The 26,602-nt window shown below is 36.6% G+C and overlaps 1 protein-coding gene and 1 non-coding gene across 29 annotated transcripts in view; both read right to left on the minus strand.

Annotated features, from left to right (window-relative positions):
- DENND4A (DENN domain containing 4A) overlaps positions 1-26,602 on the minus strand; it is a 133,171-nt gene that overhangs the window by 46,660 nt on the left and 59,909 nt on the right. For 27 of the 28 annotated variants that reach the window (NM_001376920.1, XM_047432100.1, XM_047432097.1 and 24 more), the window contains 7 exons: positions 25,860-25,918; positions 23,752-23,896; positions 23,290-23,465; positions 17,066-17,166; positions 11,996-12,214; positions 9,696-9,841; positions 309-442 (listed from right to left, as the gene is read on the minus strand). In NM_001376920.1, the coding sequence (NP_001363849.1) occupies positions 309-442; positions 9,696-9,841; positions 11,996-12,214; positions 17,066-17,166; positions 23,290-23,465; positions 23,752-23,896; positions 25,860-25,918 (980 nt within the window). Of the gene's footprint in view, positions 1-308; positions 443-9,695; positions 9,842-11,995; positions 12,215-17,065; positions 17,167-20,105; positions 20,319-23,289; positions 23,466-23,751; positions 23,897-25,859; positions 25,919-26,602 lie in introns of those variants that run through there. The other variant, XM_047432105.1, reaches the window with a different exon arrangement.
- On the minus strand, positions 13,464-13,550 carry MIR4511 (microRNA 4511). The gene has a single exon (NR_039736.1). It is a non-coding gene; the product is annotated as a microRNA 4511 (primary transcript).

A 26,602-nucleotide genomic window follows, 5' to 3' on the forward strand; every position in this document is an offset into this window, starting at 1 on the left:
AAAAATCAAAATTCTAGTGCTGCATTTGGTGTGGGGAGTCTAACTGAATGTAATCAACATTTACAAGGAGAGATACTTATGCAGACATCATTAGAGAGCTTCCCAAGTCTATATTATGCAAAATTATATATGTTTTCTTTTTATACCTCAAAGCTTAATAATGGATGTGGGATAAGCTTGCTTACCACCTAAAAATTAGGGATCTGTAAAGTTTGGATTTTTGAAAATACCACAGTCCTTAGAAAGCTACGTCACAGATGATGGATTGCTTCTCTCTTTCAATCTCAAACATTCTGCCTCTTGAATACCTGTACTGTAAAGGGGGTTCTTCACCATTGGGTAGGTGGGGGATCTCAGGTGGTGTTACAAAAACAGTGTGTTCACTTTTGAAAGATTCATCCAGTTCTATAAGTCGTACTTCACCGCTCTTGTCCATATCCACCTAAAGGAGTTTTAAAAACATATATTAAAAAAGCCACATTGGTTAGCCAAGTGTTCATATAAAGGGAAGTGGTTAAATAAACCATCTGCACAATGGATACTAAACAGCTATTAAAAAAGAAGAGTGAGCAAGTTCTCTATGAGTGCCAAAATAATTAAGTGAAAATAGCAAAGTGCAAACTGTAAATAGTATATTACCTTTTGAATAAGAAAAGGGGAAAATAACACACACACACACACACACACACACACACACACACACACACACACACATATATATATATATTTTTTTTTGAGACAGTCTTGCTCTATCGCCAGGATGGAGTGCAGTGGCACGATCTCAGCTCACTGCAACCTCTGCCTCCCGGTTCAAGTGATTCTCCTGCCTCAGCCTCCCAAGTAGCTGGGACTACAGGCGTGTGCCACCATGCCCAGCTAATTTTTGTATTTTTAGTAGAGACGGGGTTTCACCATGTTGGCCAGGACGGTCTCGATCTCTTGACCTTGTGATCTGCCCGCCTTGGCCTCCCAAAGTGCTGGGATTACAGGCGTGAGCCACAGCGCCCGGCCTTTCATTTTTGCTTATATTTACATAAAGAAATACTAGAAGGATACTAAGAAAAGTACCTATATGAGGAAGAGGAAAGGAATAGGGTAGACAAGGATGGAATAGGACCCAGATGAATACATACCTTTTTATATTTGAATATACCTTTTTATATGCAAATGTTTTGCATTTGAATCATGAGACTGTAATCAAGAAATAATATTTTTTAAATCCACGTACATGTGTGTCTGTGTGATAAGAATAGTGAATTCTATATATTTTTAAAATTTATACTAAATATAACAAATTTCCCTAAGCTCTTTCAGCATATGTAGACGTATATTTGAGTTAAACTCTAGTCACATCAATATCGAAAGCACTTTGGTAGTACTATTTCCACTAGATACTCGATAGCAAGGTAATATCCAGAAAAAATGAAAACTTCATAGAACCTAAACTGCCCCACAAGAGCTCATAAACTAAAAAGAATAATATTGATATTAATAAAAAAGGATGTTATACATATGACAAAACACATTTCACAGAACTTTATTAGGTTAGAAATATCACATACCATGTGGATTAAGTGGAAGAGCAAGAATTATTAAGTAGTTAAACCTTTAAGATAAGGACTTAGGGCAGAGTATACCAAAAAAGAACAGAGATGAGTTTTAAAAATTTTCTAACACTTAAAGGAACCAATACATTCAAAAATCTTCTTATATAAATTATTGATTATAATTTCACAGCATTATATGCTATACTCTCTTGGATTAAATAATGTTTTTAATGGTATATCCATACAGTGAACTAGACAAAAATTAGGACACGATTCAGAATTATAATAATGAGAAAAACATTTACAAAATAACAATAAATGAGAAAAGAATCAGACTACTAAATCGTATACATATTATGATTTTTTTTTTTTTTTGAGACAGAGTCTTGCTCTGTCACCTAGGCTGGAGTGCATGGTGCAATTTTGGCTCACCAGCACCACCGCCTCCCAGGTTCAAGCAATTCTCATGCCAAAGCCTCCCAAGTAGCTGGGACTACAAGTGCGTGCCACCACACCCAGCTAATTTTTATATTTTTAGTAGTGACAGGGTTTTACCATGTTGGCCAGGCTGGTCAGGAGCTCCTGACCTTAGGTGATCCGCCTGCCTTGGCCTCCCAAAGTGCTGGGATTACAGGCATGAGCCACAGTACCCAGCCTATATATTATGATTCTTAATGTTTTTTTTGAGACAGGGTCTTGCTCTGTTGCCCAGGCTAAAATGCCATGATGCAATCACAGCTTGCTGCAACCTCAAACTCCTAGGCTCAAGTGATCCTCCTGCCTTAGTCTCTCAAGTAGCTGGGACTACAGGCACATGCCACCACACCCAGCTAATTTTTCTTTCTTTCTTTTTTTTTGGTAGAGATGGGGTCTTGCTATGTTGCCCAGACTGGTCTGGAACTCCTGGCCTCAAAGCAATCCTTCTGCCTCAGCCTCCCAAAAATGTTGAGATTACAGGAATGAGCCACCATGCTCAGCAAATGTTTATTTATTTAATAGTTCTCACTCTTTTTTTTAGCAGCTTCTCCCTCTCCATATTGGTGCCTACTTTCCATTCTCTAGCCATATTGTTCTCATAGAAAAGTGTGGGGTCCAGGACAACTGCTCTAGTTTTCGGTAAAGTCTATACAAATATTAAAATTTTGCACTGTAGACTCAATAGCTTGGTAAAAGATACTTCCTTCTACTTATATACCAATAAAATCTCATTTTAACATTATAAAAATAGCCGTGCAATAAATCCTACATTTATCAGTTGGACATCTCTGTCTTTTGGAAAGCATGGTGACATCTGTCTCTATCGAGAGAAAAAGAAATCCAACACCCACAGCAGGATAAAATTAAAATAATTTTCATATTCTCTTCATATTTTCCCACAAGACATTAATATGCTCAGAAAACACTGGAAAGGGATTCTTGGGAAACCAAGAAAAAATCTTACCAGACTATTTGTTACACAAAACTGCCTTTAGTTAAGCACCATCCCACAGGAACAGATTGTAAGGATTTAAAATATAATCATATGAAGAACAAGAACACATGGTTCTTAAATTAGTCATAAATGAAACTCACATAATTCTCATATATTGTTTTTCTTATTTCTATTCAGTATTACCCGCTCCAGCTTTTTAAAGTCGGTCAAGTGTTTTGTTTGGATATGCTAAGATCAAAAGAGTTAATATACCATGTGAGAATAAGTGAATAACAGTATCACACGTCTAATTTTTGTTCAATAGTAGTCATGAACCATATGAGACAGTTAACGTATATTTAATGTTATTTATTTTCTATAGCTAAACTGCCAGAGGTAAGAGGATTTGTTCACTTAAAAACTTAAGCTCAAAGTTACTCAACTAAGGAATAACCCTCACAAAAATTATTCTTTTTAAAGTGTTACTGATATTCAGAAAACATATGCAGATGAATAGTAAGCACTGATTTTTTGTGAGTCACTTACTATGGTATCAAAACATGAAAGGTAGTAACAGCATTGTATAATTATTTACATTTCAGAGAGTTCTGGCTAATAACACCACCAGGGATACAATTAACCTCTGCTCTAACTACATATGAACTTTATTAAGATACATTTTGAGCCGGGCACGGCGGCTCATGCCTGTAATCCCAGCACTTTGGGAGGTCGAGATGGGCGGATCACCTGAGGTCGGGAGTTTGAGACCAACCTGACCAACATGGAGAAACTAAAAACACAAAATTAGCCAGGTGTGGTGGCACACGCCTGTAATCCCAGCTACTCGGGAAGCTAAGGCAGGAGAACTGCTTGAACCCAGGAGACGGAGGTTGCGGTGAGCCAAGATCATGCCATTGCACTCCAGCCTGGGCAACAAGAGCAAAAACTCCATCTCAAAAAAAAAAAAAAAAAAAAAAAAATATATATATATATATATATATAATCTCGTGACACTTTATTTTCTCTAATAAGTCTCTTGAATTATAACAAAGCAAATACAAGTAATTATGTTTTAATGCATTAATTTTCAGTTTTGATTTTCTGAGTAGTCATTAAAATCTTTAAGTATAATGTTAATTCATATATATAAGTGATCTTTTGTTGGATCTAGATTTTGAATAGATAAATAACATTTTAGGAAAATAGTCTACCTAGAAACAATGATTATACATTTAATAGAATTTTCTTTTTCGAGACTTCTCAGAATTCATAATCTTTAAGCAATGATTCCAGTCACCTTCTGCATGGACTACCATCACATAAACAACAGGTGGCCTACAGAAAATCCTAGACAACATAATGTATTAACCATGAGTACTAAGATATGCTCCTTAGGACGTAATACCCTAGTTAGCAAAATTACAAATCTTGTATATCTTAGATATTAATATTTCTTTAAATCATGTGACTTAGCTAGGAATCCTGAGTTCTTAGCTAAAACAGAAACTTGTGAATGGGATACATAAAATAGGCCAAAAATAAAAGGGAACAATATAAGACTTCTCTCTTCTCACTGTTATTTGGATTCTGACAACCAATTCAGTGTTCTCATGTGGATTAATAAATTTATTGGCTAAAGCATGCTATTGGCAAAACCTTGGTTACCAATTTGGTCCCTTATGATTCAGTAAGGTTTGCACAAGGAACAATAGTTACACAAATGTATGCCACTGTTCGTAAGGGAAGCTCAGTGAGAACATATATACAACCAATGGAAGCCCAGCACCTGTGAGAAAATCATTCAAAGTTGGTAATGCCAGACAGAAACATCATCTTTATATACAAAAAAAAACCCACAATTGTTCCTATAAAAAAGAATGTAGAGGAATTATTTTTTAAAGCACACCTTTCTATTTATTGCCAATATTTAATTTTATAAGCACTGATATGGTTTGGATATGTGTCTATTCCAAATCTTATGTTGAAATGTAATCCCCAATGTTGGAGGTGGGGCCTGGTGGGAGGTGTTTGGGTCATGGGACAAATCCCTCATAGCTTGGTTCTGTCTTTGTGGTAGCAAGTGAGTTCTCTCGAGATCTGTTTTATTTAAGCATATGGCAGTTTCTACCACTCTCTCTTGTTCCAGCTCTGGCCATGTGACATGTTGGCTCCCTAGTGGCTCCCCGTGGCTTTCTGCCATAACTGTAGGTTTCTTGAGGTCTCACCAGAAGCAGATGCCAGCACCTCGCTTTCTATAAAGCCAGTAGAACTAGGGGCAAATTAAACCTCTTTTTTTTATTAGTTCTCCAGATGCAGGTATTTCTTTACGGCAACACAAGAAGGGCCTAACAGAAGTGCCAAATAAGGCAAACACAAAACTTTGCTTAAAATATTGAAAAACAAGTTCTTGGTATAATACTCAAATGAAGACAAAACTGTCAAAGAGCTATGACATTATCTCTTCAAAATAAACAGGTTTTCACCACGAGCAGGGGCCACTCCTATAAACCCAGCACTTCGGAAGACTACTACAAGAGGATCACTTAAGTCCAGGAGTTCAAGACCAACCTGGGCAACACAAGGAAACCCTGTCTCAACAAAAAATTAGCCAGGCATGATGGCATATGCCTGTGGTCCCAGCTACTCAGGAGACTGAGGTGAGAAATCACTTGGGCCCAGGAGGTCGAGTCTGCAGTAAGCTGAGATCGTGCCACAGCACTCCAGCCTGGGTGACAGAGAGAGGCCCTGCCTCAAAAATAAAAAATAATAAAGAAAAAAAACCAGGTTTTCAAAGCTTTATAGACCAGAACTCAACATACAAAATGCAGGGTTCCACAAGTCTGTTTGTAAGTAGGTTATTCAAAATGTAGAAAATAAATCTTCCCCCAAAACAATCTACTTTCTGGGGTGATGAAAATATTTGGAACTCATGGTTACATGGAAATACATATTTGTCAAAACTCATTAAACTTTGTACATCAATGGTGTATCTACTGTTTGTATATCTCAATAAATTTGATTTTTAAAAATGTCTTAAAAAGTGGTTAGCATATTATTCCACACACACACAAAATTAATACTTCGTTGTTGTTGGTTTTTGTTTAGAGACAGGGTCTCACTACGTTGCCCAGGCTAGACTCCAACTCCTGGGCTCCCCGCTCAGACTCTTGAGTAGCTGGTAGTAATTGCTCTAGGGATTAAAGGTGCACACCACCATGCCCAACTTATAAAAATTTAACACGTATTTATAGCAAAACACTGCTACCATTTGAAGTATGGCTAATCACCATTTATAACAGTGTTTCTATGGGAAAATGAATTGAGAATTTTAAGCAGGTAATGGCATGTATCCATCTTTTCCCTATTCCAAAGCATTTTCAAGAAAGAACTAGGGATGATATTTCTGGATACTTTGATTTGTTAATTCCCTAACAGCACCAGAAAGAGTATTTCTCTGTATCAATCATCCCTCAAGTGTTCTAAATTGAAGGAAAAGGTAGATGTCTACAAGGCTCTGAATGTGTTCCTGTTCATATGTACAAATCATTCAAAAATTGAACATTTCTGTTATGAAATGATAAACCAAATGAACCATTAATCTATAAACGTGAATAAAACCCAGTTAAAGGCAAAAACAGTCATAATATTTTCTTTTTAGTTTATACAACACTACTCTGAACGCTATGATAGGCAGCTATAATTATTTCTCCTCAAAACATTTTAAAAACATACATAAGAAAACAACATATAAAGACTAAATGACTAAAGTCACAAGTATAATAGTCAAGATTAAAGTACTTCTGATTCCCAATGTAGTATGTTTTTCCTAGTACACTATTTTCCTATTCATAGTGAGAATCACTTCTCATTTTTATATGACACATTTGGTACATATTTAACAATCAGTAAGGCCAATTTTATGTTAAACTAAGAACTGAACCAATTTATGAATATCAAGGGATGAGTTGTATTTTGGCTGTTGTGTTAAAAAAAAAACTCACTGATTTTCTTTCACAGTCACATAAATTTGAAAGTGATGGACTTCTTTAAATAATCTTAACGTTACAAATTGTTGTGATCATATATAATAAAGCTTTTATTTCTTCCTTTTTTCTATTATCATGGCCATAACATCATGGATACTATATACCTATTTAAATACAAATTTACAGGAAAATTTAAGCACAGTATAAGTAACTTCTTCCCTTAATCTTTGAGAGTAAGCTGCTGAGCTGATGACCCATCATCACCCCTGAATACTTTTATACTTCCTACAAAGACATTCTCCTACAGAAATACAATCATCTGGGAATTAACATTGATACATTATTACTGGAAATCAACACACTAATACATTACTACTACATACTCCTCAAACCACATTCAAGTTTTGTCGATTAACCTAATAATGTTATGCCAAAAGGATCTAGTTCTTAACTAAGCACTGCATTTGGTTGTCAAGTCTTCTTACTTCACTTTAGACAAGTTTCTTCTCCATTTTTACTTTATTTTCTTAACCTTAATACTTTCTAGATTACAGAATAAGTATTTTGTAGAATATCATTTAATATGTGTTTGGTATTTCCTTGAGATTATATAGGTCATACATTTTTGCAGGAATATTACAGAATTGATGTTGCATTCTCATTGTAACCTATTAGAGGAACACAATGTTGACTTGTCCCGTTACAGATGATGTTCATTTTGATAACTTGATTAAAACGGCATTTGCCAGGCTTTTCCACTATAAAGTTACTCTTTTCCCTTTTGTCATTAATATGCATTTTGTGGGAAGGTCCTTAATAACTATGTAAGATCCTGCTTCTCAGATGACTTTCAGTTGATTGATATCTGTGTACACTCATGGTTTCTTATTTTACTCAATGGGCTAATCTGTTACTAACATTTGATGCTCAAATTGTCCTAGATTTGCCTGTGGAAATCCCTTCAAATTGACTTCTGTGTGTGTATTTTGTTGTAACATGTCTCATCATTCTTAGAGCAATTCTTGGTTTTCTAGCACAAGATACTTTTGGGCTTATCGCCTAATAATGTCCTTGCCCTAAACCTGGGGCTGGCCATTTCTCTGAGTCCTGATTCTTTTAGTGGAGAATGGTATTTAGAAGTCAAAATCTATACATTAGGTGTGCTCATTGCTTTTGGGGTGTGGCTGCATCCAGGTCCTCTCAATGTACAGAGGTAGGGAATATATGTATATATACACACAGACACATATACTTACATCTACATTTATTTCTGTATCTATCATTGAAAACCAATGATATACAGCAAATCTCCAATTCTATTCCAACACTATGGGGTTCATTTTAGTTTTCTTCACTTCTGTATTTGTAAATCTCTTCTCTCAATAAGAAACTTTATTATCTTTGGCCGGGTGCAGTGGCTTATGTCTGTAATCCCAGCACTTTGGGAGGCCGAGGCGGGCAGATCACGAGGTCAGGAGATCAAGACCATCCTGGCTAACACAGTGAAACCCCATCTCTACTAAAAAAATACAAAAAAATAGCCGGGCATGGTGGCGGGTGCCTGTAGTCCCAGCTACTCGGGAGGCTGAGGCAGGAGAATGGTGTGAACCTGGGAGGCGGAGCTTGCAGTGAGCCAGGATCGCGCCACTGCACTCCAGCCTGGGTGACAGAGCGAGACTCCGTCTCAAAAAAAAAAACAAAAAAAAAACCCAAAAACTTTATTATCTTTAATATACTTATTTGATCAATCTCCCCCATATGTAACATTCTCCCATCTTCACCACCACCCCTCTCCCACACAGATGACTTCTTCACCTTAATGTGGTTTTGACAACCCCCTCCAGACCAAATCCTGCCCCACCATGCTGGCACCTCTCTCATCTATATGAAATTCTGACATCTCATTTGCTTCCCTTGCTATCCCCATGAGGACACTCTCCTCACCCTGCTCAGACTCTGACACTGCATGTTGTGCTCACCTTTGTATGAATGCTCTTCTCATCCTGTTTAGGTTCTGACACCCTGTAGCAGTCTGCCCCTGAACATGGATACCCTCTTTAAACTGCCTGTCCTCTGATTCTCCATGTTAGACCATGCCTCTCCAGGAATACTCTCCTTACCTGGCTTGGGCTCTGACATTCCAGCTAGGCTGTTCCTCTCTCTCCACCCTATTTAGGTTTTGAAACCCCTCTCTGGACTACCATCCTACTACCTCCTCTCTCTCCAGCATGAATACCTGCCTTGCTCTGTCCTACCTAATGATATTAGGACTGAAGGGAAAGGTTTCATACATAAATTTAAAATTACAGAACTAATTAATTTAAGCTACGAACTCATTCGCAATTGTAGAAATATTCAGGTAAAACATTTATTATACTTTCACACCTACTTTCAGCATGTGATAACCCATATCAGACAAAAAGGAGAGGTGAAAATCACAGACGTTCAAGTTGGAGGTGCACAGGCTGGCAAAAAATTCCTGGTTTTGTAAGTGGACAGGGAGGGTTAGGACTTGATTGCTACAATAAAACTTATGATTACAATTACCTTGTAGTAAAATTCTACAAGGTAATTGTAAGAGGTGCATTCTATAATTTCTAGCAGGCTACCAAAACTTTCATTTAAGTGGTCAACGATGAAAATGAAATTAATTTCAATTTCATTAAAAGCTGTACATAGAAACTATAACTCATAACATTTATAACAGTCACACAAAATAAGTTAGGGCATTGTAGATGTACTGTTACTTACTTTATCTACACAATCATCAAAAAATGCCAGGCTTGCATCTTTGTCACTAACAAAAGAACATTCTTCAATGAAGCGAATAAACATTTGTGTTTTGGTCATCATGTTATAGAATTTTTGATGTGACCGGTCCCGGCTTCTTAAGAAAGCTGTTCAACAAAAATATATAATGTCAGAATACATAATATCATTCATAGATTCACAGAATATTTGCACTAGAAAGAATCTGAACAACCATGTCATCTATACCTCCCACACCACTACCATTTCGCAAGTGCTGAGAGGGAAAATGACCTGACAAAGAAATAGGAGAATAGTAATAAAGGAACATAAACCCAGATCTCTCAAATCTTCATCCAGAACTGTCTCCACTGTTCTCTCACCATCTTAAAGATTATAAACTAGTATATTTGAAAATTGCTCTCTTTTCCCCTAAAAGCTTTGCATATTATGTGCACATACTTGCTCTCACACTCTCTCCATATAAATATATATATCATATATATATAAATGGCTTTCTCAAAGCAGCAGTAACATTCCCTCGTATTCATTCATGTTTGTGTCTTACTTATTGAAAACAGAGAAAAGGTTTATTTCCTGATTCACCTTACTAATTATGCTCAGTTACACTGCACTTGGGCCTTCTTTCAGGCCCAGGAATTCAAGCTCTTTCCAGTCTCAGGGACTGTGTAAACTGTTCTCTCTGCGTAAAACACTCTCCTACTTTACCTTTGTCTGGCTAATTTCTTTCTTTTTTTTTTCTTTTATTTTTCTTTTATTATTATTATACTTTAAGTTTTAGGGTACATGTGCACAATGTGCAGGTTTGTTACATATGTATACATGTGCCATGTTGGTGTGCTGCACCCATTAACTCATCATTTAACATTAGGTATATCTCCTAATGCTATCCCTCCCCCCTCCCCCCACCCCACAACAGTCCCCAGAGTGTGATGTTCCCCTTCCTGTGTCCATGTGTTCTCATTGTTCAATTCCCACCTATGAGTGAGAACATGCGGTGTTTGGTTTTTTGTCCTTGCAACAGTTTACTGAGAATGATGATTTGCAATTTCATCCATGTCCCTACAAAGGACATGAACTCATCATTTTTTATGGCTGCATGGTACTCCATGGTATATACGTGCCACATTTTCTTAATCCAGTCTATCATTGTTGGACATTTGGGTTGGTTCCAAGTCTTTGTTATTGTGAATAGTGCCGCAATAAACATACGTGTGCATGTGTCTTTATAGCAGCATGATTTATAGTCCTTTGGGTATATACCCAGTAATGGGATGGCTGGGTCAAATGGTATTTCCAGTTCTAGATCCCTGAGGAATCGCCACACTGACTTCCACAATGGTTGAACTAGTTTACAGTCCCACCAACAGTGTAAAAGTGTTCCTATTTCTCCACATCCTCTCCAGCACCTGTTGTTTCCTGACTTTTTAATGATTGCCATTCTAACTGGCGTGAGATGGTATCTCATTGTGGTTTCGATTTGCATTGTCTGGCTAATTTCTACTCATCTTTCAGATCATGGATCAGATGTTACTTCTTCAGAAAAGCCTTCCGTGATATGAGGTTGTGAACTGAAGTTGTTCACTCTTTATTTCCAATTGCCTATCCTCTTGATTATAAGCTCTCTGAGAGAAATAACCATGTCTCTCATCTTTTACTTTTTTTTTTGGCCATGTCTCTTTTGCATACCACTATATATCCAATGCCTAGCATTCGGAGGTACTCAATATATACTTATTAAATGGATTTCTCTTTCAAATGTTAAATACTACAAAAGAAAGTAAATATGTATTATAAAACCGGTTGCACTCCAGAACTTCCCAACTTTTTTTACTTCATGGCACAGATAGGAAATATTTGTAAATATTTGTAAAGTACATAATATTTGAAAATATTTGTAAAGTATACTGAAATAAAACAAATGAGGTTATTCAAGCCTGGAGGTGACCATCTCAGGGGTTCCTCTTATCCCCAACACTGCCTGCTGCTCTGAAAGCTGAAAGTATCAGTATCTCAACACACATGTGACACAAAAGTGTAGTCGGTATATGGTTGGGAGGCTCTATACTTTTCTTCTGCATATCTGCTAATGGGATTATATCTAATATGCCTGAAAAATAACTAGTCCTATGGAAATGGGTAACCAACAAAGCTAGTATTCAGATTCTCCTCAAAATAGGTATGTATTCTCATAAATATGAGCTATTAATACAGACAGCAAATGAATCATCACAAAGTTAAGCTCAATAACCTGAAAGCTTTAAAACTATGCAGTCACTCACCTTGTAGGGCAAAGAGAGAGGCTGCATCTGTGGCTGTCTCAGATGGGGCTTGTGTTATTGGCCTTAAGTATGATCTGTAACCTTTTAAAATAGAGGCCATGAAAAACAAAAATGCCTCTTGGATTTCCAAATCTATCATGTGCAACCTCTTTCCAGAATTAAAATCATAGTCATTTATTGCTAAATCCATGAGTCCATCATCTCTCGGTCTCTGCTGCACTGTGAAGACATACAGTGTTAGTGTTTTCTCCAAACTCACAAAACACTCATGATGGTACCAATATAATTTTGTTGTATTTTCAAAAGGACCCAAGCTACCTCAACTCTTTGTTTACATAACTTAATCATACGTAAACCTTAGCAAAGCTTGCCATAGCATTTTGTAGTCTCCGTTGAGTAAATTTTATCCAAATTAAACACAAAGCTACCCGTTTATCTCACTACCACCAGGAAAAAAAAAGCTCAGGTCGGTCATGGTAGCTCATGCGTGCAATCCTAGACCAAGGCAGGAGGATCACTTGAGGCTAGGAGTTCAAGACTAGCCTGGGCAACATAAGAGAGATTCTGTCTTTACAAAATTTTTTTTAAGTTCATGTTCTAAAATAACTATATATAAGTTAATAATGATTGTAACCGAGAAGGCAATAGAATATAAGAAAGCTGTTCAACATAAATATATATCACTCATAGGCTCACCAAGTATTGGCATTGTTCAGAAAGAATCTGAACAACCATGTCATCTATACCTCCCACACCACTACTATTTTGCACATGCCCTGAGAGGGGAAATGACCTGACATACGAATAAGGAGAATAATAAAAAAGGAACATAAACCCAGATCTCTCAAATCTTCATACAGAATTGTCTCCATTGTTCTCTCACCATCAAGTGATTATGGTGAGATTATACATAAACTAGTACATTTGAAAATATTTCAAAAACTGCCCCCCTTTCCCTCAAAAGTTTTGCATGTTTTTTTTCCTTTTTTTTTTTTTTTTTTTTTTTTTTTTTGGTTTTTTGAGACAGAGTCTTGGTCTGTCACCCAGGCTGGAGTACAGTGGCACGATCTCAGCTTACTGCAGCCCCTACCTCCCGGGCTCCAGAGATTCTCCTGCCTCAGCCTCCTTGGTAGCTGGGATTACAGGTGCCCATCACCACGCCCAGCTAATTTTTGTATTTTTAGTAGAGACGGGGTTTCACCGTGTTGGCGAGGCTAGTCTCGAACTCCTGACCTCAGGTGATCCGCCTACCTTGGCCTCCCAAAGTGCTGGGATTATAGGCATGAGGCACCATGCCCAGCCACTTTGCATGTTATGTGCACATACTTGCTCTCACACTCTTTCCATATGAATATATATAAAACATACATATTTTATATAATACATATATATGTCTTTTTCAAAGTGGCAGTGACATTCCCTCTTGTATTCATTCATGTTTTTGTCTTACATATTGAAAACAGACTTTTAAAAAAAGGGAAAGAAGAACTATTGCATTTACCCTGTGCAAACTGAGTGCAGGGCAAATGCAACAGTTCTTCTTTCCCTTTTTTTTTTTTTTAATATAAGTACCTGCAGGAAGAACACACAAGGATTAAAATATAAAAAACAATTCTTCTTCCTGGACAATTCAATGCTAAAGCCATTAGATAGTAAACATGTAATTTTATAGTAGAGAAGTCTAGTAGACACCACCTTAATCAAGTGATCGAAGTGAATATCTTCATCAATAATGGGACAAAGCAAAATAGTGTGCGATCTGATATAAGGACGCAATGAGAGAGACACAGCATCACTTCTGTGATATTCCTGTCAAAGATGTGTGACCTGGGCCGGGTGCAGTGGCTCACATCTGTAATCCTAGCACTTTAGGAGGCTGCAGTGGGAGGATCACTTGAGCCCAGAAGTTCAAGACCAGCATGGCAATATAGTGAGATCCCATCTCTACAGAATTTTTTTTTTTTTTAATTAGCTGGGTGTGATAGCTTGTGTCTGTAGTCCCAGCTTCTCAGGAGGCTGAGATGGGAGGATCACTTGAGCCTGGGAGCTTGTGGCTGCCATAAACCGTGATCGCGCCACTGCACTCCAGCCTGGGTGACACAGTGAGACACCCTGTCTCAAAAAAAAGAAAATAGATGGGTGGCCTGTATTTATTATGAGAATGCTCAGACAAACCCACACCATGGACAATTCTACAATGGTAAGTATAATCTTCAAAGATGGCAGAGAATCTGAGGAACTGTTCAGAAGGAAAGGCAAATAAAGAGACTTGAAACTACATACAACACCTGATTTGGAACTGGATCCTTTTGTTATAAAGAACATTAAGATGATAACTGGCAAAACCTGAATGTGGTCTGAGGATTAGGACAGCAGTAATTCTCAATGTTAATTTTCTGATTTTTATGGTTACATTGTAGTGATGTCAAAGAATGTACTGGGTAGGAAATACATTCTATTCAAATGTCATGAAGCATCTAATGTCAAAGGGTCAGGAAAAAAGTTTGTTATTACTTCAAAATTTTAAAATATAAGGAACAATTAATCGTCTTCGAGAGTTTTTGGAGGAGTTCTTATTGTCTAAAAAAGTGAAAATACTGGAAGAACGTAAGGCATTGGAACCAGAAAGCCTAGGATTTTTTTTTTTTTTTTGAGATGGAGTCTCACTCTGTCTCCCAGGCTGGAGTGCAGTGGCACAATCTTGGTTCACTGCAACCTTTGCCTCCCAGGTTCAAGCTATTCTCCAGCCTCAGCCTCCCAAGTAGCTGGGACAACAAGCGTGCACCACCACATCCGGGTAATTTTTGTATTTTTAGTAGAGACGGGGTTTTACTATGTCGGCCAGGCTGGTCTCGAACTCCTGACCTCAGGTGATCCACCTGCCTCGGCCTCCCAAAGTGCTGGGATTACAGGTATGAGCCACTACGCCCAGTCAAGAAAGCCTAGGTTTTAATCCCAGCTTCATCCTTGTTAACTGTATGATCTGTGAGAAGCTACTATACGCCTCCTTCAATCTCATTCTCATAGCTGTAACGTAAAAGAATGTATGTGAATGTGCTCTGAAGCTATAAAGCGTTAGAGTCCTTAATTATCAGTATTATTTAAATGTTTGTAGTTTTAACCTTTGAGATTCTGCCTTTCACAAAAGTTGAATGGGCTGTTTCATTGATTATATATATATATATATATATATATATATATATATTTGTACTTTTTGCAGAGACAAGGTTTCAGCATGTTGCCCAGGATGGTCTCAAACTGCTGGACTCAAGCGATCTCCCTGCCTCAGCCTCCCAAAGTGCTGGGATTACAGGCCTGAGCCACCCTGCCCAGCCAATGTTAATAATATTTGAATATTGCTACAATAGCTGTTGGGCTTCTTAGCTATTCAAAAGAAGTGCAAACACTTTTAGAAAGCAATTAACTAGGTAACAAATGATATTACATGCATGATTTATTTGTTCCATAAGGCAAAATTTTGTTACGTTTTATGTAATTTGTTTAATATCCCAATACTTATGAGCTACTTTGGAATCATCTACTTGTTATGAAGTGTACTTTGTAAATACTGTTTTTATCCATGTCTATTTCCAACTACACTATACACTATGATGAATCCTCAAGGGTGTAGGCTACCTCCTATGCTTATGTTGTACCTAAACATAAATGTGTATTACATAAATGGGTCATCTGCTATAATACCAAGAAGATCAGATAAAGAAATGAAGGTTTAATTTTCCTTAACAGTAGAAAAGAGCATGGTGATAAAGCATTGCGAGGCATTTGGACTTAAAGATAGCTTTAATGACTCCACTTAAAAAAAAAAAAAAAAAAGAAAGAGAAAGACGACGTCTCACTCTGTCACCAAGGATGGAGTGCAGTGGCATGATCACGGCTCACTGCAGTCTTAACTCCCAGGCTCAAGTGGTCCTCCCGCGTGGTCCTCCTGCCTCAGCCTCCCAAGCAGTTGAGACTACAGCTACATCTTAAGGAGTCAAATACTGCTATACCACTATTGACTGTACTTTATATAATAAGTATTAAGTTATGGATTCTGAATGGGTCATCTGCTATAATACCAACAAGATTAGATAAAGAAATGAAGGTTTAATTTTCCTTATCAGTAATTCTGGACAAGTCAAGATATATTCTCATATAAGCTTTTTAAATAGAAATATTCCATATCCTAATCAATTTTCATTTTGATTAATTTCTTAATGCTATTGGCAAACTTCGATTTTCAAACTTTAAGATAGGCACACAGAAAAATAAAAAACATTTTTAAAAGATAAGCACAGCATTAAGATCCACTGAAGGTGAAAAGCTCTTACCCCACTGATACCATCAGCATTTTCTAATGTAGTTTACATCATTTGTCTTCGATTTTCAAAACTAACTTTCTATTCTGTGTATGAAAAAAATAGGCCAGGCATGGTGGCTCATGCCCGTAATCCCAGCACTTTGAGAAGTCGAAGAGGGAGAACTGCTTGAGCCCAGGACAACATGGTAAGACCCTGTCTCTGTAACAAATTAAAAAATTAGCCAGGCGTAGTGCCTCATTGTGTCTGTAGTCCCAGCTACTCAAGAGGCTGAAGTGGGAAGACTACTTGAGCCCAGGAGGTCAAGGCTGTAGTGGGCCATGTTTGTGCCACACACTATAACCTGGGTGACAAAGCAAGACCGTGTCTCAAAAGAGAAAAAAAAAACAATATAAAGGTGGAACCCCACATTTTTTCCATGGTATTTCAGTAACGGTAAAATAAACCACCTTAACATCCTTTTGAATTTTATTATTTTAAGATGGTTCTATAAAAATTTGGTAGATATAATATACATATTTTGCATTCCAGCCTGGCAACAGAGCGAGACTCCGTCTCGAAAAAAAAAAAAATACACATTTTATAAATCTCTCATTCATCTTCTAACAAATTTTGCTTTAATGATCATCTGCCTTTAAAATGGTAAAACCGCTTTCTGCTAGATAAACATTATTCTTTTATAAGTAAGGCAAAGTAATTGGAGTCCCTTTTTCAGATTAAATTACCTCCTTTAATTAAGTTATCCACTTACATTTTGCCAATTGCTGATGCAAATTATTCAGTGTGTTCATCAGATTTTTACATGGCTTCTTTGGAAGTATCTTCCAGGCTACATTTTTCTTGTCACCAATTCTAAGATTAAATAACAACAGGAATATATTTGTTACATGGTCTTTTGGAGGGGAAAGGTATATATCTGTTATATATAAAAACGGGAAAAGATTAAACACCTTGAATGAAAAATGAAAAACAAAATATTTGCATTAACAAGAGAAAAATCCTACAGGGGTAAATTGGCATGTTGAATATACAAAAATTAATTTGTATGAGGGTAGAACCTTGTATTAAATATAGTTCACAAGTTTATATTTATACTGAGTAAATTCCAGTTGCTTTGGAATCTTGCTAATCACCATAAAGCTTAATGTGGTGATCTTTACTCTTAATCTCCATTTAAGTGTGCTTAGACACCTAAATAATAGAAAAATCCTACCATAAGTTTTTTTCTTAAATACTGTAAGAAAAAGCACTACAAAAACTTTCAGTAAATTCATGATCCACAGAGCTTATCAAAATACTTCGGTATATTTAAATACTTAGTTTCTTAGTTTCCTAAGAGTATAAGTAAGGATCATTTTTGTTTCTTTCAAAAAAGAAATAACCTATTATACTAAATTACTTGAATAAAGCATAATATTGTGAAATACTTATATAACTATAAAAGAGGATATCCGTTAAAAATGATAAAGCAGTTTCCCCCTTATCTGTAGAGGATACATTCCGAGACCCCCAGTGGATGCCTGAAATCACAGACAGTTCAGAACCCCATATTTACTATGTTTTTTCCCAAGCATATATACCTATGATAAAGTTCAATTTATAAATTAGGCACAGTAAGGGATCGATAACAATAATTTATAATAAAATAGAATTATAACAATATACTTTAATAAACGTTATGTGAACGTGGGCTCTCTCTCTCAAAATAACTTATTGTACTGTACTCATGTACTTTCAGACTATAGTTGGCCACAGATAACTGAAACCATGGAAAACCAGACTGTGGGTAAAGGAGGAACTATTGTATCTTTGTTTCTGGGACAGGCTCCTATAATCTCCTTTATTATAGCAATTACAACACAGTTGGTCTCTAAACCATACATGGGGTAGGAGTAGAAAAGAGCATGGTGATAAAGCATTGCAAAGCATTTGGACTTAAAGATAGCTTTAATGACTCCACTTTAAAAAAAAAAACCAGAGAGACAACGTCTCACTCTGTCACCAAGGGTGGAGTGCAGTGGCATGATCACGGCTCACTGCAGTCTTAACTCCCAGGCTCAAGTGGTCCTCCCAAGCAGGCCTCAGCCTCCCAAGCAGCTGAGACTACAGGCGCGCACCCCTACAGCCTGCTAATTTTTATTTTGTAGAGATGAGGTCTTGCTTCGTTGCCCAGGCTGGTCTTGAACTCCACATCTTAAGGAATCCTCCTGGCCTCTGCCTCTCAAAGTGTTAGGATTACAGGCAAAAGGCACTGTGACCAGCTGACTCTACTTTTTTTTGAATCGTTTTTTTTTTTTTTTATTTCAAAAGCAATGAATATTCATTTTAGAAAACTTGAAAAATGTATAGAAAAAGAAAAGAAAAGTAAAACACTCATATTTTAACCACCACAGAACAACATAGCACAGGTGTGTAGTGGAACTTGCTGAACCTTTTTATATTCCCTAAACTTCCTACAGAACAAAAAAGGGCAAATATCACTTTGAAAAGTAAACAAAGAAAAAAGAGTGGGATAAGAAAGCTTAAGCTGAACAAAAATGACTGTCTTGGAATTTGTCCCCTCTATCTTTCCACAAATGAGAATAAAAATAAAGATAGGGCAAAGTCAAACTGCAGATGTCCTGCTGTGAAGGTGTGATTACATTTACAATGTGACCAACAGGATCCTGTGTTATAGTAAGAACGCAACATAGAAACACTTTTTAAAATTATTTTCTTGATGAAACTCAGTAACACAGCTTTCCCACTGTGTCTTACCATTCACTGCATAGTGCCTGTCTTGCTAGACTTAATTATGAGTGTCTTAAGAGAAAGAAGAATATGTGGTTTGCTATTTTATTCCCAGTGCCTAGCAAAAAAAGGGCACTCGGGATATGTTTGTGGCGTAAATGAATGAACAACATCTTGGTATCATCTGATCACATCTAATTACTGTTACTTACTGCTATAATTTCTGCCTCTTTCCTTTGATATCTTCCCTCTAAAACTTGGCTGGGTAAGGGAATTTTTTGAAGTACTTGAGTTTGGTCTATGATCATCTTCTTATAAAAAAGATCATCTTATGAGTAAATGTATATTTACTCATGATGACTTCCACTTACAAGATTACTACATTATTTTATGACATACACATATTATATAGTTACCCAATAATTAGTGGTAGAAGCATTAGTTTTGGAGTCAAACAGTAATGGCTTTAAAATGCAGTTCTGACAACATAAGCTATATGCCCTTTGATAAATCGCTTAAAAATCTAAGCTTTGGTTTCCTTGTCAGAAGGGTTAATAAGAACTACCTCGGCTGGGCGCGGTGGCTCACGCCTGTAATCCCAGCACTTTGGGAGGCCGAGGCGGGCAGATCATGAGGTCAGGAGATGGAGACCATCCTGGCTAATGCGGTGAAACCCCGTCTCTACTAAAAAATTCAAAAAATTAGCCAGGTATGGTGGCGGGCACCTGTGGTCCCAGCTACTCGGGAGGCTGAGGCAGGAGAATGGCAAGAACCTGGGAGGTGGAGCTTGCAGTGAGCTGAGATCACGCCACCACACTCCAGCCTGGGCAACAGAGTGAGACTCTGTCTCAAAAAATAAAAATAAAAAAAATAAAAAAAAGAACCACCTCACAAAGTATGGAGAATAACATGAGATAACTTAGGCTACACATGTAGCTTTACACTTGGTACATACATATTAATTTCTTTCCCTTTCTTCAGAAATTTCTTCATATTTAAAAATAGTCTGTATCATATATACTTAAGACAGGGAAGGGGAAAAGAAACCAAAAATTCCATACTTGGGATTTGTTTTTCTTTCAAACTTCAGGCTGGGGCTTCAGAAATTCTAATTGAAGGAAAGTAGAAAGCTGTCAGTTCGCTAGTCTAGTCCTCCACCGGTTTGGGAGGGTGGTAATGGCAAGAATTCATGAGCACAAACAACTTATCTTTCTTTGATTCTTTAACTCATTAGTGATCAAAGCAGAAAGAAAAGAGCTCAGACCTCAGCAACTTCAAGAAAGAAAGAAAAAATAGTAAGTAGGAAGACAAAATTCTTTTTCTAATTTTTAAATTTTTTGTATAAATGGGGTCTCTTCTGGCCTCAAGTGATCCTCCTGCCTCAGCCTCCCAAAGTGTGGAGATTACAGGTATGAGTCAAGACACCTAGCTGAGAAAATTCTTTTAACAAATTAAGAGACATTGTAAGGTGGAAAATACAATTTATTACCATAATAAACACAGTATACACTCTTACCACTGTTAATTTCAATTAAAAAATATTACATCACGTAACATTAACCTGGCAAGGAAAAGTTGTATTACTTTAATGTTTAAAAGTATTAAACAGTTCTGGTAAAGAATGAAATGTTGATGGTAAAGAATCATTGAATCTATTGATGCCGTATGTAAAATGGCTTTTATGCATAAAATATATTTCATATTTTCTTGGTTAGGCTTTCCATGAATAAAAATTTTGACAGTATGCATGCTTTATAACAGAATACTCATTTTCTGCTAAACTTTTCTAATGGTTTAGGCACTTGAGGTTGTGACATGTGACAAGACTGAGAACTAATCTAAGGTTTCATAATTAAATCGAAAAGCTTTAGGCTGTCTCAGCCCTTTGGGAGGCCGAGGCAGGCAGATCACCTGAGGCCAGGAGTTCGAGACCAGCCTGGCCAACACGGTGAAAACCCCTCTCTACTAAAAATACAAAAATTATCCAGGTGTGGTGGCACACACCTGTAGTCCCAGCTACTTGGGAGGCTGAGGCAGGAGAATTGCTTGAACCTGGAAGGAAGAGGTTGCAGTGAGCTGAGATTACACCACTGCGCACTCCAGCCTGGGCAACAGAACGAGACATTGTCTCAAAAGAATAAAAAGTAAAAAATTTTTTTCAAAAAAAGCTTTAAGATAAAAAGCTCTTACTTAAAAATGGAGAAAAACTGGGTGTGGTGGCTCATGCCTGTAATCCCAATGCTTTGAGATGCCAAGGGGGGAGGATCACATGAGGTCAGGAGTTCCAAACCAGCCGGGACAACACTGCAAGACCCCTTCTCATTTTAAAAAATTAGCCAGGCATGACCGGGCGCGGTGGCTCACACCTATAATCTCAGCACTTTGGGAGGCTGAGGCAGGCGGATCACGAGGTCAGGAGATCAAGACCATCCTGGCTAACATGGTGAAACCCCGTCTCTACTAAAAATACAAAAAAATTAACCAGGCATGGTGGCGGGTACCTGTAGTCCCAGCTACTTGGGAGGCTGAGGCAGGAGAATGGTGTGAACCCAGGAGGCGGAGCTTACATTGAGCTGAGATCGCATCACTGCACTCCAGCCTGGGTGACAAAGCGAGACTCCGTCTCAAAAAAAAAAAAAAAAAAAAAAAATTTAGCCAGGCATGGTGGTACACACCTGTAGTCCTAGCTACCTGGGAGGCTGAGGCAGGAGGATTGCTTGATCCCAGAAATTTGGCAGTGAGCTATGATCATGCTACTGCACTCCAGCCTGAGTGACAGAGTAAGACCCTGTCTCTTTTTAAAAAAGGAGAAAAACCTACTTCACATTTACATATTTAAGTGTAAAAGCTGTACCAGCTTTTGGGCTTTATTAGACTAAATCATAGTTATTATAAACATGTCCTGTGGGTGCAATGTGGACAGTGCATCAATTTCCTCTTCCCTGAATAGATTAAGTATGATTAAATTTAAAATAAGGGACACAAAACAATACAGAATTATAAAAAGGCTTTAAAAATAGTTCCGATAGCTATAACTTACATATAAATTCAGTGCAAAGAAATGAAAACATAAAACCCTTGCATCCCTAGGGTGTAAAGATAATGAAATTATGTATAATTTAAAACTTATTTTAAAATTTTAAAGCATTATTTTACTATGATGAGTTTTTTTTGTTTGTTTTTTTTTGTTTTTTTCTTTTGAGACAGAGTCTCCCTCCGTTACCCAGGCTGGAAAGCAGTGGTGCAATCTCGGCTCACTGCAGCCTCCGCCTCCCGGGTTCAAGCGATTCTCCTGCCTCAGTCTCTGGAGTAGCTGGGATTACCTGCCACCACGTCCAGCTAATTTTTGAATTTTTAGTAGAGACAGGGTTTTACCATGTTGGCCAGGCTGGTCTCGAACTCCTGACCTCAAGTGATCCGTCCACCTTGGCTTCCCAAAGTGCTGGGATTATAGGCGTCAGCCACCACGCCCAGTCTATATTTAAGTATTCTAATAGTATTATAAAAGACTAGAAATAGGATTGAAATATTAATCAAAGAATGGTGTTTTAATTCAATTTGTGATTTCACCTATACTCATATCATTAAAGGGAAATAAACTTTTTCTATTTCTAACCTCAATTTCCCTTTGGCTAAATTTCTTTTTCTTTTTTTCTTTTTCTTTTTTTTTTTTTGAGACAGAGTTTCACTGTTGTTGCCCAGGCTGGAGTGCAGTGGCGCGATCTCAGCTCACCACAACCTCCACCTCCCGGGTTGAAGCAATTCTCCTGCTTCAGCCTCCCGAGTAGCTGGGATTCCAGGCATGCGCCACCACGCTCAGCTAATTTTGTATTTTTATTTTTAGTAGAGATGGAGTTTCTCCTTGTTGGTCAGGCTGGTCTCAAACTCCTGACCTCAGGTGATCCGACCACCTTGGCCTCCCAAAGTGCTAGGATTACAGGCATGAGCCACCGCGCCCGGCCCCCTTTGGCTAAATTTCTAAGCAAGCCTAACATTAAAATGTTTCTTAAATATTGAAAGCCTGAGGATGAAAGGTATAGTCCTTCCAACAAAACCTTCTTTAATACTCTAAATCTACTCCATTGACGCATAATAAGGTCTGATTCAAAGACGGTGATTACCCCACATAACAAGGAAAACAATATATCTTAAAAGAATCCTACTTAACAATCATAAAATATACAGTTACATACATATGCTACAAAGTTGTAAAATATACATGTAGAATCACTAAAATGTACTTACTGAGAAATAGTGTTGGTATCTACATCAACACAACTGACATCTGGTGGAGGATCATAGAGATCAAAGTATCTTGAATCAATCCCTACTATGAATGGACATGGTGCACTCAAGACATCTGCTAAAGCCAGTGGGCAGAGAGGAACATACGGGCATGGCCAGTGGAAAGGGAAAATCATCTTGGATAAACAAAAGATAGGAGAGAATTTAGCTTTTTAACACTGAAGCATAATTTATCAGCACACACAAAAAACTGTCTTTTAAGTATTATCTAAAGCCTAATGCCTGATAATGAATGAAATAATTATAACTAGAGTTAATGGTCAGGAAATCAAAACTGCTTTCAAAAAACACAAATTCATTACTCTCTGAATTTTAGTTAAGTTATATTAAAATGGCTTTAAGTTATATAAATAAACTAAGTTTAAACTAAATTGACTGCCAATAAGAAACTGTGATACTCACAGACACTAATGCTTCTGTCACACTAGTAAGCACGGATGGCCGTAGGGAATGGATAAGAATTTTATGTTCTGTTACTGCAAACACCAGTAGTGTCACAGCATTTTCAGGGCCTAAATTCTGCAGTAGTGTTGAAAACTTGCCACCACTGTCAATCCAAACAAAAATATATAATTAAAAAATAATGATCCAAACACCTCATTATCTAAAACAATGGGCAAAAGTAGTTGATTAGAGTAGGATTTGTATTATATATGTTGATTAGGGTACAATTTGTATTATATATTCACCGTTAAACATGATTGCTGCTATGATGCAGGGAAAACACTGCATCACAAACACACTATGAAAACAATGCAGTTTTAGGAGATTCCAAAATCATTCTTTTGTACTGTATTCAATATGGAAAATGAAAAGTCATCTGCTTCATTTCATATAAAAACATCTGTCATATAATGTCCAAATAAAGAATGCAATTTATAAAAGGGATGCTTTGATTGAAAGCAAATCCTTAAATGGAAGTTTTTGAACATGGCCTATCTTCCACTGTAATTATCAGAAAAACCATATGACTTACAGGCCCACTTCCCTTAAGGTAAATACACATTAAAACTTAATTTTGTGAATAATCTTTACTACTGTAATGATAATAGTAATAGGAAATCAAGAGGTACAAGATGATAAGATACACATACAAAGCAAGTTAATAATGAAAACAATAAACTTAGGCCTTCTATATAGTAACAAAATACTGAACTGACAAAGTAAATAAATAGTTCAGTAAGCCAGCAAGTATTTTGTTTATATAATGCTAAACAACTAGTTTCACTGGAATAATCTTTTAAATAAAGCAAAACTAATAACAAAAGCCTCTTGGTGAAATGAAAACATATGTCCACAAAAAAATCGGGGTAAGTTCATAGTAGCCAAAATGTGGAACTATCCCAAATGTCTATCAACTGATAAACAGATACATAAAACGTATATCCATACAATGAAATATTATTTGGCAATAAAAAGAAGTACTGATACATGAGGCAACATAGATAGACCTTGAAAACATTAATCTAAGTCAAAGAAGCCAGACTACATATTGTATGATTCCATTTATATGAAATGTACAGTATAGACAGATCTATAGAGACAGAATGTAGATTAGTGGTTGACTAGGGCTGCAGAGGGGTATGAGTATGTTAGAGATGGGAGGAATTAAGGAGGTTAACTGCCGAAGGGTAAAGAGTTTCTTTTTAGGGTGACGAAAATGTTCTAAAATTTATTACAGTGATAGCTGCAGAACTCTGTGAATATAATTATTGAATCATACACTTTAATTGGGTGAATTACATGATATGTGAATTATATCTCAATAAAGCTGTTACCTAAAAAAGTCCTTTATGTAATTTAGAGTGACATACATAGTCTCACTCATTGTTTCTAGTTTATTTTCAGCTCAAACAAAGGTTAAGAAAACATTTGTCACTCTGGGCTGAGAGCTAGTGATGAAATAATCTGCAATTCTTACAAAATTAATGTCAAAGATGGCAGCTAGTCTCCCTTAGGTATCTCCTATATAACTTAATCAGACTGTAACCATTTCTCTGATGAAAAAATTACACAGCTAATCAAATTTCAAGAAAGGATACTGTAGAGAAAACATACTTAATGATTTCTCTGAACTTCTAAGGTAAGAAAATACATTGTCCTATTCTACAATTTAATAATTAGAACTATTTTTTTTCTTTTGGGTAAAATTTAAAATTAATTGCATTTTAAAAAGAAAAAATTAATTGCATTTGAATGTTCTTCAGAGGTTAATTAAAGCTAAAAATAACTGTTCTCATCATCTACATACATAAATACACACACACACACACTTACACAATAGTAGGTATTTGATGATAATAGATACACAAAATACAAAACACTATTAGAAAAGTTTCCTTTTTTCATTAATAACTGCAACCCAAACATTAAGTAAAAGGAATTTAGAGAAGTAGTAGTTAAATGAGAAGTATTTCCATCAATATTTGAAATTTTAGCTAGGAAAAATAAAATATTTGAATGTTATGCTAGATTGAGAGAAAAATAAATAGAAATGAGGTTTTACTTGCCTTAGTGGAAGAGGTGAAGACACAGGCTGACTGAGAATCAGATTATCATGTGGTGATAACTGGAAGAAGATTTAAAATAAAGAATTTGAAACATAAAGATGAACTTTAAAACACCACTTTCTGTTAAAAATATATAAAATAATGATTATGCCCATGAAGTTTCAGTATATCCATTTACCAGTATCAGAACACTTTGTATCACTCACTAAGATCTTGAAAAACATGTCCTGACCCCTTTCAACTACTAATTCTTCTTACTGTGAATCCTCTTTTCTTCTGTCCTCAATGGTTTCCCCTGATGCCATTTTAACAAATTCACACTGAAAGACTAAATTATTCATTTAATACCATAATACCAGGGTCAAAAAACCTATGGCCTACATGGCAAATCCATAGATTGCCTGTTTTTGTAAATAAGGTTTTACTGAAATATAGGCATGCTCATTATTTACATATTACCCAGCTGCTCTTGTGCTGTAACAGAAGAGCTGAATAGTTGTGACAGAGATCAGATGACAAGTAAAGACTAAAATATTTAGTGTATGACCAATAACCAAAAAAGTTTGTTAACTTCCATCATAAAACAATCTTTTGTGTGTATTTAAACTGAATGTGTTATGTATATTCTTACACTACATTCCAGGAAACAAGACAGAAATCACATGTGGATATTCAGACTGAATATAAAGCTCAAAATATTATTTTTCTAGATATTTTATCTGTATCAATATAATAATGTAATT

The sequence above is a fragment of the Homo sapiens genome, chromosome 15 (assembly GCF_000001405.40).
Source record: "Homo sapiens chromosome 15, GRCh38.p14 Primary Assembly".
Classification (NCBI taxonomy): domain Eukaryota; kingdom Metazoa; phylum Chordata; class Mammalia; order Primates; family Hominidae; genus Homo; species Homo sapiens.